The sequence below is a fragment of the Homo sapiens genome, chromosome 7 (assembly GCF_000001405.40).
Source record: "Homo sapiens chromosome 7, GRCh38.p14 Primary Assembly".
Taxonomy (NCBI): Eukaryota; Metazoa; Chordata; class Mammalia; order Primates; family Hominidae; genus Homo; species Homo sapiens.
The window spans coordinates 13705317-13722557 of NC_000007.14; the positions used below are offsets into that span (position 1 = coordinate 13705317).

The window sequence follows — 17241 nt, forward strand, 5'->3', positions numbered from 1 at the left end:
CATTTTTGTTTAATCTATCTTTTCTAAATATTCTGCACAGAAAATGCATTACTATATAATAAAATTATTTATATTTAAATACACACAATGTAAAAAAGTTCCACTGGCCGCTTTTTAAAAGCATTGTTTTTTAAACATTATTAACTATATCTAGTTATATTTTTATATTATAGTTACTAAATATATGACTGAAGTATTAGTAATAAGATTTATACATTCTTTTGTGCCAGTAACACTTAAACTGTCCTCAAATCTATAATGTATGCTTATTAGAATTAAACATCTAAATATTATATAATTATTGATATACAATTTTCCTTAAAAAATCCATTGATCTAAGTTAAATAACAGGCAACCAGAATCCAAAAGTATTACTAGGCAGGTGGTGAATACTAATAAAGTTTTTAAAAAGATCTTTGCTAAAAAGCTCAAATGAGTGATACTTGAAGAGTAAGCTGGTTGCATTTGAACCGAGGATCTACGTGTGCAAAATCCACTTATAGAAGTTCAGAGTTCAGCTGTGCAGCTGCATGTTCAAGTGAAAGATAAACTCATCTCCAAATTGTTGCATGGCTATTTGTTTTAAGTTTGCATTTGCAAAAACTCTTAAGTAGACAGTTTAAATACCTTTGTTAGCTATACCTTTTGTTAGAAGACACCTGGAGTATAAAAATAAAGATTTAATTAGAAAAATGTGTGAGGTACTTGGGAAAGAAAATGAAAAACAAACTAACAAAAAAAAACCAGGCCTTAGCTTCTGGGTAGCCCCAGGCCCCTGCAGCATCCTGCCATTAGCTGTGCATCCTTGGGTGAGTCACTTTATCACCCTGGGTCTCCATTTCCTCATCTGCAAAGTGAGACATTTGGATTTCATACTAAATTGTTTCCAGTTAGAAAATTCAATAATTTGATAAATTATAACAGTTTGTCACTGAAAAATGTTCCTCTACCAGTAACATAAAAACATTGAAGTTACTCTGAAAACCTTGTCTCAGACACCTTTTTCTACTTCTTGGAAATTAGAATGCACACTGTAGATGGTCCTTTTCGGATTACATGTTAACTTGAATGAGAAGAAAAATATTATCCTTGAAGATTTATGCAATTATTTTATCAAACCTTCTAGCTTCACTCTTGATAAAGGCAAATCCAACTACACTAAGTCATCTGCCCGGTTCGTGAGCCATCAGTGAACACGTGATTATGCTTTCTCATTCATCTTATGCCATTGCTTTCTCCAATACTGCAGACTGGATTAGAAAGGGTGAATTTAACAAGAACTTGTAAAATAAAATAGTAAATCTTTATAACAAGTTTGCTTTGTGTTAAGTATGTGACAAACAATTATTTATAACTTTAGCTAAGGCCAAACCTGTACAAGTATAAAATATCAAGTAGCTTTTGTCATAAAGTTTCTATGATTTAGAGAATTTTTAAATTCACATCTTAAGAATTTTACAAAAAATGTTTTGTTTATTTTCAAGCAGTTATTAATACTAGAATTTTTGTTTTTGTATTCAAATCAAGTCCTCCTCTGTAAAAAAATGTACCAAAGAAAGTTGGAATACATACATCAAAAAACTATCTTTTTCTTGAAGATTTCTACTTTTTCATTATATAATACATGCTCATTGTCAAGAGTAGAAAGTAAAGAAGTGTTTAAGAAAAAAAACTTCAATTATTTATTCTACTACCATTTTTAAAATATTTTCCCATCCTTTTGAAACATATTTGAATAGTATACCTTCTGAAATAAAGCATATGTACACATTATTAAATGCAAACATTTGCATCCATACTATACTTATCATTTTATAGCTTGTGTTTATATTTATAACATTTTTCATATTTAATAGCCTTTAATTATATATCTAAATATTAAAAATAAGCTATATAACACCTCTTGTTCATTAAATGCTTATGATATGCACTTAATGAACAATGTTAAAGACATATATATATATATATATATATACACACACACATATTTTGTTCTTACTCATCTAAACGATCTTTTATACTTCAGGGATCTAAAGCTTTGAATTGACTTGCTGAAGGTCAAAGTCAAAAGATGATGAAGTTGGAGTTCAAACCTATGCTTATCTTCAGAGTCTACATTCTAAAGCCATCTTTACATTACCTCCATTTTTAAAACTTGCCTCTATAATTTTCCACCATACAAATTTTAAAACTTAACTGATTTCCATTTTTCAATGTTTAGCTTATCTCCTTATTTCTTTTACTTGTCTCACAATGTGTTTAAAAACATTTTATGCACAAATGATTATGTCAATCACCGATATTTTCTAAGAATGCATTTCTATGCCATGCATACATTTGCAGTTATTTATATATAATTGTCTACCAATTTGCACTTCCACAAATGATTTTATGTTTCAGAATTCTGAATGATGCTTTCCCCTTACCTGAAAACTTGTGACTATATAGGTCAGTAGTTTTTAAAATTACTATTAGTTTTAAAATTAGACAAAACTATACAATAAGTAACTTCGAAACATTATAATGTCAAAGTCATGGGTTTATACTCATAAATCAACAGGAAAGATTTAACTACCACACAGGAGTATGCCATTTTCTATGGAAAATTTAATTCTGGCTCTTTGGTATGAGTGCATTAGCACATTCTTCAATTAAGCATGAACACAGAACTTCTAACATTACGATCCATGAGTTATAGCAGGCTTCTCCTACAGGAAAAACTTCTAACCAAACCATACACACAAATACAAACACAAACACATACCACACATGAGGAAATGAATGCCGAAAAGCATCCAAACACACCGCACGTAGCTCCAAGGATCCACGTAGTCATAGAACTAACTAAAAAAATACTGCTATCAATAAACAAAATTTACTACGCTTAAGAAAATTTCAAAGCTTTTTTTCCTGAACAAAGCATACATAGTTTCAGAACTATATAGTTTTCACAGATCACCTATGTTAGACCTTTATTTCCATTATATAGCCAATGTTGTTGTTGGAAATGACATCCCTATTGCTACTGTATTTAAGGTTATCAGCCAGCCTTAAATCTTAATTCTGTAATATGAAACAATTAACAAACTTATAATTTCTCTTTAGAAACTTTAAAACATGGCATTGTTTGCATGCAGAAGGAAAGAAACGTACAGGTGCCTAAGAAAATTTTTGACAAAATATTTTTAAAGTCTAGAAAATTTTTCTCTCCATTGCTTGAGTAGTGGCCTTGTTTTGTTTGGTTTTCTCCAGCCATCATTGAGTGAGAAGGTTCTACCAATATCTTGCTATAAATTTCATTAGAATTTACTTTGAAAGATTCTAAGCATAACGAAGATACTATATTTTACTGTCAGTGACAGAGTATGCATCTATTGTACCTGCTAGTCAGTTCTAATGATGGTAAATGTATTATACTTGGCTCTCTGGGGTGGCAGAGAAGCCTTATTTATAGCTTTTGCTTATATCCATGGTGAAAATATTCCCATGATGACCTTTATACTGCATACAACGTGTGGAAGAGATGTTCATGATTATATCCAACAGGAGACAGCTTCAGCGTCACTGTTGCTAACCAAATTACTGACCAGTTACAAAACCAGCTGGAGGTGTTTAGAGTTTTTAAAGAAAAGCCTAAAATTAACTGTTACATATAGAAAGAATATTAGAGATCAGAGAAATTATATGCTACTTTTCATATAGTTCAAGTCTTACCATAAATTAAAATATTTGAGATTACTCTAGTAGGTAATTTTTTATTCCCTGAAATTAGGTATGGCAGCAGCTTATTTTCTCTCTTACTTTGCCTCTTTTCCTTTCTCATAGGTCCGTTTATTTGTAACTTCAAAAGATCTTTACATTAAAGCACTCTAATTTCCATTTAATCTGTTACTTTCACTTTGATGTTGCTTAGTTGATTAAAGTAATTTGGAATCTCAGTGCTATGGAATGTGATTAGGAATGTCATATTTCTAAAGGTTATTTTGTTAACATTTTGCACATTGAATTTTGATCAAATAGTAGATAAAAATATCATTTATCCATCTTATTCTATGGTAATTGTCATAAAAATATAGCTCTAGTTTAAATTAATAATTGGTCTAGCAATTGGAAAAATAGCAAATCATTTTATTTAATTAGATCTTTTCATGAAAACTGATTTGAAGAAATCTTAAAATATGCTTCATATTTCAGGAAATGATAAGATACTTTAAGCTTTGCCTATTGATTTTCTACTGGAGGATGGTAGACTGGGGAAGGGTAACTTTAATGTGAAACTTCCATATAAAATGTGTTAATGTATTCTCTGAGATCCCACCCATAGAAAATAGACTATTTTAATTCTATGCCCTTTTCTATTTTCTTCTAAACAGGGAATCTGGTGTCACTAGGTTACTGCAGTTTAAGACAGATTGCCTTTGTCCAACCTTTCCGTGTTTGCCAAGTAAATAGTAAATAACTGGACAGTATCTTTGTGATTAAAATGATCTTCCAAAATAGTTTCCTCCACAAGATACTCCAATATGTTTCTGCATATTTAAGTAAGCTAGACTGTGTCTCTAGGATAATTTATTTTAGACACCTGAAGAGTTCATAAAGTGCTACAGAGTGAAATTATTATTTGAGTTGTATCATGTATCAAATTCCATATGAAACTGCTTTTCTTCTAAGACTGAACCAGGAAGAAATTGAATACCTGAACAGACCAATAATGAGCTCCAAAACTGAATCAGTAATAAGTAGCCTACCCACAAAAAAAAAAAAAAAAAAAAAAAGCCCTGAAACAGATTCACAGCTGAATTTCACCAGATGTACAAAGAAGAGCGGTTACCATTTCTACTGAAACTATGTGTTAAGAATTGAGGTAGAGTGATTCTTCCATAACTCATTATACGAGGCCAGCATCATCCAGTTACCATACCTGCAGAAACACACACACACAAAAGAAAACTTCAGGCCAATGTCCTTGACGAACATTGATGCAAAAATTCTCAACAAAATACTAGCAAACCGAATCCAGCAGAACAGAAAAACTTATCTACCACAATCAAGTAGGCTTTATCCCTGGGATGCAAGGTTGGTTCAACATACGTAAATCAATAAATGTGATTCATCACATAAACAGAACTAAAGACAAGAAGCACATGATTATCTCAACAGATGTTGAAAAGGCTTTTATTAAAATTCAACATCCTTCATGTTAAAAACTCTCAACAAACTAGATATTGAAGGAACATACCTCAAAATAATAAGAGCTATCTATGACACACCCACAGCCAACATTATACTTAATAGACAAAAGCTGGAAAACTGGCACAAGACAAGCATGCCCTCTCTAACCCTCATTTTCAACATAGTATTAGAAGGCCTCGACAGGGCAGTCAGGCAAGAGAAAGAAATTAAGGGCATCCAAACAGGAAGAGAGGAAGTCAAACTATCCCTGTTTGCAGACAATATGATTCCATATCTAGAAAACCCCATAGTCTTAGCCCAGAAGCTTATTTAACTGATAAGCAACTTCAACAAAGTTTTAGTCCAGAAGCTTATTTAACTGATAAACAACTTCAACAAAGTTTTAAGATGCAAAATTAATCTACAAAAATCACTAGCATTCCTATACAGAAACAACAGCCAAGCCAAGAGCCAAATCAGGAATGCAAACTCATTCACAATTGCCATTAAAAGAATAAAATATTACGGAATACAGCTAACCAGGAAAGTAAAAATCTCTACAATGAGAATTACAAAACACTGCTCAAAGAAATCAGAGGTGAAACAAACAAATGAAAAATCATCCCATGCTCATGGATAGAAAGAATCAATATTGTTAAAATTGCCATACTGCCCAAAGCAATTTATAGATTCAGTGTTATTCCTATCAAACTACAAGTGACATTCTTTACAGTACTAGAAAAAACTATTTTAAAATTCATGTGGAATAAAAAAATAGCACAAATAGCCCACACAATCCTAAGCAAAAAGAACAAAGCAGAAAGCATCACACTATCCAACTTCAAACTATACTATAGGGCTACAATAACCAAAACATGGTACTAGTACAGAAATAGACACATAGACCAATGGAATAGAATAGAGAGCTCAGAAATAAGGCTGCATATCTACAGTCATCTGATCTTTAACAAAACTGACAAAAACAAGCAATAGGGAAGGACTTCCTATTCAATAAATGGTGCTGGGATAACTGGCTAGCCATATGCAGAAGATTGAAATTGGACCCCTTCCTTCTACCATCTACAAAAATCAACTCAAGATGGATTAAGCACTTAAATGTAAAACCCAAAACTATAAAAACCCTGGAAGACAACCTAGGCAATACCATTCTGGACATAGGAACTGGCAAAGATTACATGACAAAGACACCAAAAGCAGTTGCAACAAAAGCAAAAATTGGCAAATGAATCTAAAGAGCTTCTACACAGTAAAATAAACTACCATCAGAGTAAACAGACAACCTACAGAATGGGAGAAAATATTTGCAAACTATGCATCTGACAAAGGTCTAATAACCAGAATCCATAACGAACTAAAACAAATTTAGAAGAAGAAAAACAACTCCATTAAAAAGTGGGCAAAAGAAATAAACAGACACTTTTCAAAAGAAGACAGGCACACTGCCAACAAGCATGTAATAAAAAGGTCCATATCACTGATCATTAGAGAAATGCAAATCAAAACCACAATACCATCTAACACCAGTCAGAATGACTGTTATTAAAAAGTCAAAAAACAGCAGATATTGGCAAAGTTGTGGAGAAACAGGGAACACTTATACACTGTTGGTGGGAGTGTAAATTAATTCAACCATTGTGGAAAGCAGTGTGGTGATTCCACAAAGACCTGAAAACAGAACTACCATTACTGGACATATACCCAAAGGAATATAGATTGTGCTATCATAAAGACACATGCACACTTAGGTTCATTACAGCATGGTTCACAATAGCAGAGACATGGAATCAACCTAAATGCCCAACAATGTTAGACTGGATAAAGGAAATATGATACATATACACCATGGAATACTATGTAGCCATAAAAAGGAATGAGGTTATGTCCATTACAGGAACATGGATAGAGCTGAAGGCCATTATCCTTAGCAAACTAACACAGAAATAGAAAAGTGAATGCCACATGTTCTCACTTATAAGTGGTAGCTCAATGATGAGAATACATGGACACAAAGAGGAGAACAACAGACACTGGGCCTACCTGAGGGTGGAGGAAGGGAGGAGGCAGAGCATCAGAAAAAATAACTATTGGGTACTAGGCTTAGTACCTGGGTAATGAAATAATCTGTACAACAAACACCTATGACACGAGTTTACCGATATAACAAACCTGCACATGCACCCCGAACCTAAAAGTTAAAAAAATAATAAACTGCTTTTCTTTGACAAATAAAGAAACTACAGTATGCAGTCCATGTTTATTTATATTATGCTAGTTGCCTATTCCTTGCATATCTACATAAATTCACATAATTTTAGAAGTTTGCATTTCTAAATTTAAATCAAATTTAGAAATTTGAAGCTACGAAATTAAGTTTGAATATGGAAAGCATTGGGACGTTTATCTCCTTACAATCAGATGTAAACACTAGTTATGAATATACTTTTTTCAGTCATACACCAATCATAATAAAATATTCTTTTTAAAATTATTTTTTCGAGGATCATGCTGAAGTATTTCACTGATATCCTACATATGGACACAAGGGAGAGAAAGAAAGCTAAAATGGGAAGCATCAAATATTTAGAAAGTATGGACCATCTTTAGTGAATTCCAAAAAGCAACACAGCATTAGGAACTCTGTCCTCTGGAAAATCTTGGAGAGATGAAGATGTCCCAATGTGAACAGTCTTATTCTCTTTTAAGTGTCCTACCATACAGAACTTTAACTTAGGCCATTTATTTATTTTACTTAATTAAATTAGTCAATCAGATGTTTCCACATGAGCCTTACCAGAGCCCTACTTATCATCAGGAAAACTTCTAAAGAATGGGACAGAACAAAACTCATGTTATGTACAGAAGAAGGTAGCATGTATCCAAAGGAAGAAAGAAAGAAAGTAAAAGAGAGAGAAAGAGGATAGAAATAGAGAGAGAGAGACAGAAAGAAGGTTGAGACAGAGGGAGGGAGGGAGGGAAGGGGGAAGGGAAGGAAGGGGGAAGGGAAGGAAGGGGGAAGGGAGGGAAGGAGGAAGCAAAGCTGACCACGACTCAGTATATTTAACATCAGGAAATCAAAACTGAGGATAGAAAAATGCGCAAAGTGAAGGAGGTTTTTTCAAGATTACGTGGTTTATGATAAACTAAAGAATGAAAGTTGAAGAATTAAAAGACATAAACCGAACTTTATTTTTTATTCTAATGGTAATGATGGAATTTCTGATCAAAAACAATCTTAAAGAGAGTCAAATGACATATGGGCTTATAAAGCTTTAGCATACCATAACCTACCACCCTTTTCAGGCACAATGAAAAAAGAAGTTGGAAAAGCATCCACCTATTGCCTGCATGTAACAGAGCTCTGAGAAATCAGCCTTTTAATAAAAAGTACAGTCCTCAAAGTCTAAATGCCTATCTAGCCCTTTCATATTATGATACGTTCTGTTAGAAATCAGTTTTCTTTCTTGCCTTTCATGCATTATTACTTCACATTAGTTCAATTTTCCTTTGTCTTGCTTCTAGGTTTTTCAGTCACCCAACCTTTTCTTTTATGAAGGCCTCTATTGTTTTTTATAATTATCACTGTAATAATACAAATGAGTTTATCAAACTTGTTTCTCAGTCTCCTTTTCTCCATGAGTTGGTAATTAATTTGTTAACATGTTGGCATCATGTTTTCCATGAATCTGGCTCCATCCATGAACCACTGAATATCCTCCTGCATTTATGATGCTTGCCTCAAATCACTGTTTCCTGACTTAGTATTTTCTGGCATCAAGACATGAAACAAAAAGTATCGGCTGGGCGCGGTGGCTCACGCCTGTAATCCCAGCACTTTGGGAGGCCGAGGCAGGCGGACCACGAGGTCAGGAGATCGAGACCGTCCTGGCTAACACGGTGAAACCCCCTCTCTACTAAAAATACAAAAAAATAACTGGGCGTGGTGGTGGGCGCCTGTAGTCCCAGCTACTCGGGAGGCTGAGGTGGAAGAATGGCATGAACCTGGGAGGTGGAGCTTGCAGTGAGCCAAGATCGTGCCACTGCACTCCAGCCTGGATGACAGAGCGAGACTCCGTCTCAAAAAAAGAAAAAATTAATAGTATCATAACTATATCCCACATCTTTATGAAATAAGCTGGTTTCCCTCAGAGCCACCAGTGCTGCTGTGTCATAAAATCTGATAGATACTGCCCTTATCATTATTTCTGAAAACACCACAAACTTATTTCAGTTATACAATCTATGTGACTTGTGTTTTTATCTCAAGGGTAATCTCCCTTACTTAAAATCTGACACATTTTTAATTAATTTATTTGTTTCTACATTCATTCAAAACATACCAAGATTTTTATATTGCCAGGTTCTTTATAAATGCTGCAAATATGACATGAATAGAGTAAAGAGGTCCTTTGCCTCATGAGATGATAAATCTATTTTCTAGAAATGACAAATTTTTAACAAGTAATTCTATGTGTGATAAATGCAATAACCAAGAGTGCTCTAAGTGCTTTGCAAGCAAAAGTTAAGAAGTCAAATTTGGTCTTGAATTTTATATTGAGGATATTTATTCCTATTTAATTAGATAAGGAACACTGAAGAAAGAAGAGGTTGCCTTAAAGATAGCAGTCAGGATTGGCTACCTAAGAGGGCCAGTAGAAGATAAAAATCAGAGCTCCTTATACAAAAATTATTATGAATTTTAAGACTGCAATAGCAGATCATTAAACCAAGTGTGTGATCCCCAAAACGTGAGGTCCTGTGCGACTGCACATGTCACATGCCATGAAGTCAGCCCTCACGCCTATGAAGCATCCAGGAATATATGTCAAGCAGGCAGTAGAGTATACCAGTCTGGAGCTCAAGAGAAATATTTTGTTATAGACATTTGCAAGTTGTGACAGATTAAAGATAGCCATAAATTGTCACTCTAAAAAATCAAGAAATGGAGTTTATTTATCTTCCTCCTTGAATGTTAGCTGGCCCTATGATGGTTTAATCAATACAGTGATGTAAAAGTGATGTTGTGGTAGTTCTAGGCCCAGCCTTTAAAAGCACTGCTGCTTCTCTCTTGAAATGCTCACACTTGGGACACTTTCCTCCAGAACCCAGAGGCTAAATGGATGTTCACTTTTAGATGACAGCCCCAGCTGTCCCAGCGAATAGGCAGCATCAAGTATCAGCCATTTGAGTGAACCATTTAGATGTTCCAGTGCAATTGAGCAGAAGAACCACCCAGCTGAACCTAGTCAATCCACAGAACCATGAGAGATAATGAAATGGTTGTTGTTTTAGGCCATGAATTTTGCAGTAATACACAGCAATAATAACCAAAACAGAAATTAGTGAGGTGCTGAAACAACAAAAAGCTAAAACATTTGGCATTGGCTTTGGACCTAGAAAGCAGATAGAAGGTAGTCCAAAGCAGACTGCTAGTGAAAAATGGAATGATAGGGAGAAAAATGTTTTTGATGCTGGAAAGGAGGAAGAGGGCTTATGTTTTTTGTGGACACAAAAAACAGAAAATAAAGCAAATGAAAATTTTTTTTATTTTATTGAGCAGCAGAATAGTGAAAGTGCCAACTGTTTTTCCTGAATAAAATAAGGTATATGTAGAGAGAGGAACTTAAAAAAATAGCTTTCAAACAGGATCTAGAGGGAGTATTTCTTAACCAAGACTTGTTGGGAATTTTTCTTATTCCCAGTCTCCCTCAACAAAAGTCTCTCAAAGTAAGAAATTACTTTAGGACAAAGATCAAATCCAAGGCACTGTCAGTAAATGTGCAGTTTCAAAGTCAAGATCTCAGATATGTGGCTATAAGAACTTTTTGTTAAAAACTCAGAAGGATTTGACATTTGTAAAAAACTCAGGTGTGCCTCTTTGAAACTTTCTTCTAGACAATGAGGCTTCTATAACTCTCTGTTCAAAGTAGGGAAAGGCCTTTTATAAAGAAACTTTGGTGTCGCTTTTGTCCAGGAAAATGGCTTATATTTTTATACTCAGGAAAACCACAAAGTATCTATAGGAAGTGTACCAATTTGTACTAAACAAACAAAGAAAAACAGTGACAGTTCAAAAATTAAGAGATCTTTGAGACACTCAATTTTCAACAAAAAGAACACAGCCTGAGAAAGTCACTCAGCTACACATGTGGGCTGTTTCTTAGGGAAAAGAGAGACATATGGAAGAGCCAGAAGCCCAGAGGAAAAAGCTAAGAGGCAGAGAGAATCAACCCAAGAAAGCTGGAGGAAACCCTAACCAAGGAACCCACATCTGCTCACCTAAATTTCAGGATGTTTATGAACCAGTGGCTGCTATTTGCCACTGTACTTTTGGAATGCGTGTCTATCAAATTCTATTGTCCTTGTCTCACTATTACATACTGAGTTTGTGGGGGCCAGATAACTTGTTTTCTAGTTCATAGCTCTTCATCTCAAGAGTAGCCTGAGGTGCCTTATTCACACCTGGATCTGATTTAGATAATGGAATGCTGAACATTGAACCTAATTCAGTCACAAATTGAGACTTTGAGGGTCATGGGGAATGGTCAGGGTATTTTGCATGTAGAATGAATTTAAATAATTTATGACTGAGGGATCACTGTTGTGGGCTAAAAATGACCAAACACGTTTTATTACTCTTTCCATCAACATGTGGCATTTATTTTCATTCCCTCTTGAATCTGGGTTGGCCCTGTGACAGCTTAAATAGAATGTGGTGGAAGTGATGATATACCAGTTACAGACACACTTTTTAAGAGGATTGCAGCATCCAGGTCCCCCTCTAAGGTTTCTCATTCTTGGAACAATTCTTGGAACTCACCCATCATACTGTGAGAAACCCAAGCCACATGTATAGGACACATGTTGATGATCCAATTGACAGTCTCAAGCGAACTCTTTGCCAATAACCAGCATCAAATGCTGCCAGGTAAATGGGAAATCTTGGCTGTCCCAGCACAATTGAGCCCATAGATGATGCAGCCAAATCCAATTTATAAGAAACAAGCAACCCCATTTAGTCCAGTCAACACTAAAAATAGCGTGAAATAATGAAATAGTTAAGCCAGTAACTTTTGGAGTGGTTTGTTATAAAATAATAGATAATTAAAATAGGAGTCAGCTGTGTATAGAGGTTAATGAAGCCATGAGATGGTTAAGACAATCAATATGTGACATGAAAGAAAAAAGGCTATCTTAGTCTGTTTTCTGTTACCTGAATTCCATAAACTGAGTAATTTATAAAGAAAATAAATGTATTTATTTCTTACAGTTCTAGAGGCTGATAAGTCCAAGCATATGGTGCCAGCATCTGGTGAGGCCTTCTTGCTGTGTAATCTCATGGCAGAAGAGTGGAAGGACAAGTGAGCACATGCAAAAGGGATTGTACAAGGTGCTGAGCTGGCTTTATTACAACTTGCTCTTGAGATAACTACCAACTCTGATGATAGGACCTTAATCTATTCATAAGGGTGCTGCCTATGATTTGATTACCTCTTAAAGGCCCCACATCTTAATACTTTTACAATGGCAATTAAATGTCAACATGAGTTTCAGTGGAGACAAACATTCAAACCATAGCAAAGGCTTAGAATAGAATCCTAGGAATTCCAAAATTGCCAGACAGAGAAAAAGATGACAGCTACAGAATCTGTGAAATATGTTCATCAAAGTAAAAAGAAATCCAGACAGTCAGTGACCTGTGAGCCAATGGAAGAGAGAGACCACACAGGTGAGTGCCAATGAGAGATCAAATGAGATATAGGTCATAGTTACTTGTTCTATTAAATGACATAGAAGATAAAGGTGGCCTTAGCAAAAATAGAATTTCAAACTGTTAGGGAGGAAGCCAGACTGGAATTAGAGAGGTAGCTGAAGAATGACAGGGAATGAGTAGAGAGGAACAGAGAGTATAGGTTCTTTTGAAGAGCCAGGAAAGTTGGCATGAAGAAGCTCAATATCTCTTTCTGTCTCTCATTCTCACTCTGTGTGTGTATGTGTGTGTGTGTGTGTGTGTGGTGGGGAGAAGGAATAAGAGACAGAAATCTTGAAACATTAAAATTATCATTAAATGATGGTGAGAAGGAAAGAAATATAAAAGTTATGGTAAGAGAAAAATATGAGTAATATTTAACTCTTTCCAGAAAGGATCCTCAAACCAAAGAACATCCATTTAGGCACTATGGCTAGTGTTCAAACACACAATAACCTCAAAATAACACTTGCTGTCAAGCAGAATTTGTAAAACTGAGCTGAATAATCATGGATTCAAAGGAATTTATTTCCTGACATATCAAAATGGCCTTGTTTAAATCATGTAATCGAGTCTATAATAAAAATTTAATCTTAAGGTTTTATAGCTCAAAAAAATCTGTATTTTAAATTTTTAGGCAGTTTCTTCTAAGGTGAACAATGGTATTTACCTTTTGGGTAGAACATGACTTATTTTTGGAAGTATTGCTTGAGTAATATTAAGAATTAGGAAATATCTACTTGCTGATATGAGAGTATACAAAAATGTTTGCTTGACAAGCTTCCGAGGGCTCTGTAAGATTGTGGTGATATCAGATAATGCCCTTCCCAAATGTGTCTGCTCATCAATGAATTTACACACATGCATAACAGCTTCCTGGGAGCAGAATGGCTTGTACCTGGTTCTGTCTCTGAGTGTTTCAAAGATATGGAAGCATGTTTGATGAAAGATCATGGAATAGCAAAGAAAAATAGCACCAAAAAGGCAAACAAGGCAGGGAAAGATTCTAGACTAGTGATTTGGGATCAACACAGGACAGGATGATTAGAGAGAATAGCTTCCTGTGCACACTATGTAGTTTGATGCAGAAGCCATCCTGATCCAGATGCCCTGGTACTGTGGGGCGGGACCTTGGAAAAATTACCCAGAGGATGTGAAGTGAAAGTTTTGTTACACCATTCTTCAGAGTGAAGGCAGTTTTCCTACAGAAACCTTCAAAAAAGGAGATGCATCCTTCCTTGTTCCTGGCAGTCTTGCATTTGAGGAAATCAGTATGCTCCAACTTAGGTGAGTTAGGCCACTGGCCAATTTTTTTTTTTTTCTGTAGCCCTCCTCTACTCTGAGTTCCTAATTCCACTTGTTCTGAATTTTTTTTGGTGACGCATTGTCTCCATTATTGAACTTAGTCCTTTCAAAAATTAGCAAAGCTGGGAATTTTCATCCTATTCTTTTCCTACTTTCAGAACTTTGAACTTTGAATTTTCAGGAAGCCATGAAGAATGGAGTAAGATTCTAGGACCAGTTAACAAGAACATGTAAAATAATTTGTTTGTAAAATAATCTTATGAGGCTAAAGCACAAGCCAGAGCAGATTTTTTTCAAAATGCATAAGCAACACTTGTTCAATTCCACCTGCTGCAGTTAAAGAAAAGTAAGCAAAAGGGAACACTGACAAAGTAATTATTTCTAGCTATCAAATGTCCATTCATTGATTTCTAGCCAAAGCAGAGAGAATCAGGAAGTTTCTATAAAGGGCAATGAGTTTCCACAATACAGAATGTCTGTGTTGGCTCAACTCCTACCAGTTACCAAACTCCCTAATCATCCTCAATACTTTCACAATAAGTGCAAATGCTTTCAAAGTTTAAATAGATGCATCAAAAAATATGTGCCAGATAGCAATATTTGAACACTTTTCACTAAGTGCTAAAAGATTTTAGTTTTGTATACTAACTGTTAACATGGATTAAAACCAACAAATAAAAACACAATTGCAATGCTACTTGTGCTACTGGCCAACTTAGCACCAAATCACTAATAACAATAAAATTTTTCAAAATCTTAATCAAAATTTCCCCAAATTAAAAGAAAGCCAATCAATCTACAAATTGTAAAGACTGTAAAATTAGATCAATTAAACTCAACTGGGGAGAGATTTTATTTTCCAAGGCACATTTGGCAGTATCTAAAGACATTTTTGTTTGTCACAAATGAAGGAGGGGGTGCTACCGGTGTCTAGTGGGTAGAGAACAGGGATGCTGCGAAACATCCTCTTATACCTAGGCCAGCCCCCTACAACAAAAAATTATTGGCATAAAGTGTCAATGGTGCCAGATTTTAGAAATCCTGAGTTGGAGTTACCATAAAGTCCAATTTATTTTCCTTTATTTACAGAGCACCCTCTGGTTTATAACGATAACATCATAGCATCAGTATGTAGGAAGAAATGTATTTTCTAATCCATTATGGTTTTCAGGGATGAAGAGAATTATTATTGCTGTATCTGAAAATAATACCACACCATTAAGAATGTAAGTGAAAAGGAAGTGTCTAAGGCACTGGAATCTTTGTACAACTTAATCGTTTAGATAAATTTGAAATTTAAAAATGCTTTAAAATAGGGATAAACTCTCCAAGATTCTGAGTTTACAAAAAAATTTCCAGTGTTTTAAGCAATTACTTTTCTTATGTAAATCCCAGATAAGATGTAGAGGTACTTATCAACAAACTGACTCCAGATTTCTATCAATGAGCCTAATAATATTATAATGATAGTTTAAATACTAGGCTGAAGGACATTAATAATGGAGATTAAAGTAAAAGATGTATATTTAAATTAATTCAGTTAAATTTTGTTAATTGATACTCATTTCCATTAATTCTGTTTTTGCAACCTTTCAGACTTATCTTTTAGTCTCCAGAGGCAGAAAAAAAGCAGAAAAGGTTGTTGAAATTCTTCACATTGATTTCAGGGCAATGATCTCAAACGGCGCAGTGGGAACCCGCAAATTTAAGAGGTAAGGGAAGCAAATGGACTCACTGGGAACTTTATCAGGTAAGAGGCAGCCAGACTTAAAGAATAGCCCTGCTGCTAAAGAGAAGGAAAATCTTCTCTGGCAACATCTTTCATTCTCCATCCTTTTCATTAAGAGAAAACACAGGGCGGGCGCGGTGGCTCACACCTGTAATCCCAGCACTTTGGGAGGCCGAGGCGGGCGGATCACGAGGTCAGGAAATCGAGACCATCCTGGCTAACACGGTGAAACCCCGTCTCCATTTAAAAAAAAGAAAAATACAAAAATTAGCCGGGCGTGGTGGCGGGCGCCTGTAGTCCCAGCTAGTCGAGAGGCTGAGGCAGGAGAATGGCGTGAACCCGGGAGGCGGAGCTTGCAGTGAGCCGAGATCCCGCCACTGCACTCCAGCCTGGGCGACAGAGCCAGACTCCCTCTCAAAAAAAAAAAAAAAAAAGAGAAAACACTATGGAATCTTGGGAACAACATGGATGACCTACGTGTTTTCTCACAGTCAGACACCTACTTTAGGAATCCAAATGTTAACGCACATGGGGCTTTAGCAAGGAAGAAATCAGAGTACAGAACTTTAATTCAAGTTGTATTTTTGAATTGTGACACTTTTACAATAAAATAATTTTTTTGAAATTTATTAAAATCTCCATTATTGGAGATTAATTTCTTCTGGTCAAAGTCCTGTTACTTTAATGTTATATTAAAGTAAAAATATTCCAAAATGTTTAGCACACTGTTCTACCAACAGCTATTAAAATCTTAACCTGAATTAATTTCTTTAATCAGCTCTAGTATCAGATTTCTCATTTAGAGAGACAGGGTAATGATTTTTAAACTAGTATGATGAATCGACACAAAATTTTCTTTCCTAAAGTAGATTCCATGGAACACGATTTTCTGAAGTAGCCACATGGGAGAAAAATGGTTCAAAGTTTTAAGAAGTGCAGGACATACTGCCTGTATTGATCCTTTTTAGAGGTTCACCATGCATATTAGAAAAGTCTTTGAGAAACTGATTTAACTAGTTACAGAAAGTCACAAATTTCCTCATTTGCCCAGTGTGATCCGCAACATTAATTGACATACCGTGATATTAATACCCTGAGTAAAACTTGGGAACTAGATGTCGAGGACATGAATAGTATCATTGGGTATATTAATTATCTGTTGCCATGCAGTAAATTTTATTATATCAGAGTTTTCCAGGGTCAGGAGTCCAGGCAATGGCTTAGCTTATCTGGGTTTACTGCTCATGGTAAAAGGCTGAAATCATGA

General features: G+C 35.1%; 1 long non-coding RNA gene across 5 annotated transcripts in view; it reads left to right on the forward strand.

Annotated features, from left to right (window-relative positions):
* Positions 1-7373: 7373 nt before the first annotated feature.
* The window catches only part of LOC105375161 (uncharacterized), a 37849-nt gene continuing 27981 nt past the window's right edge, over positions 7374-17241 (forward strand). For 3 of the 5 annotated variants that reach the window (XR_007060216.1, XR_007060213.1, XR_927049.4), the window contains exon 1: positions 7374-15957. This is a non-coding gene — a long non-coding RNA (uncharacterized LOC105375161). The remainder of the gene's footprint in view (positions 15958-17241) is intronic. The other 2 variants (XR_007060214.1, XR_007060215.1) reach the window with 2 other exon arrangements.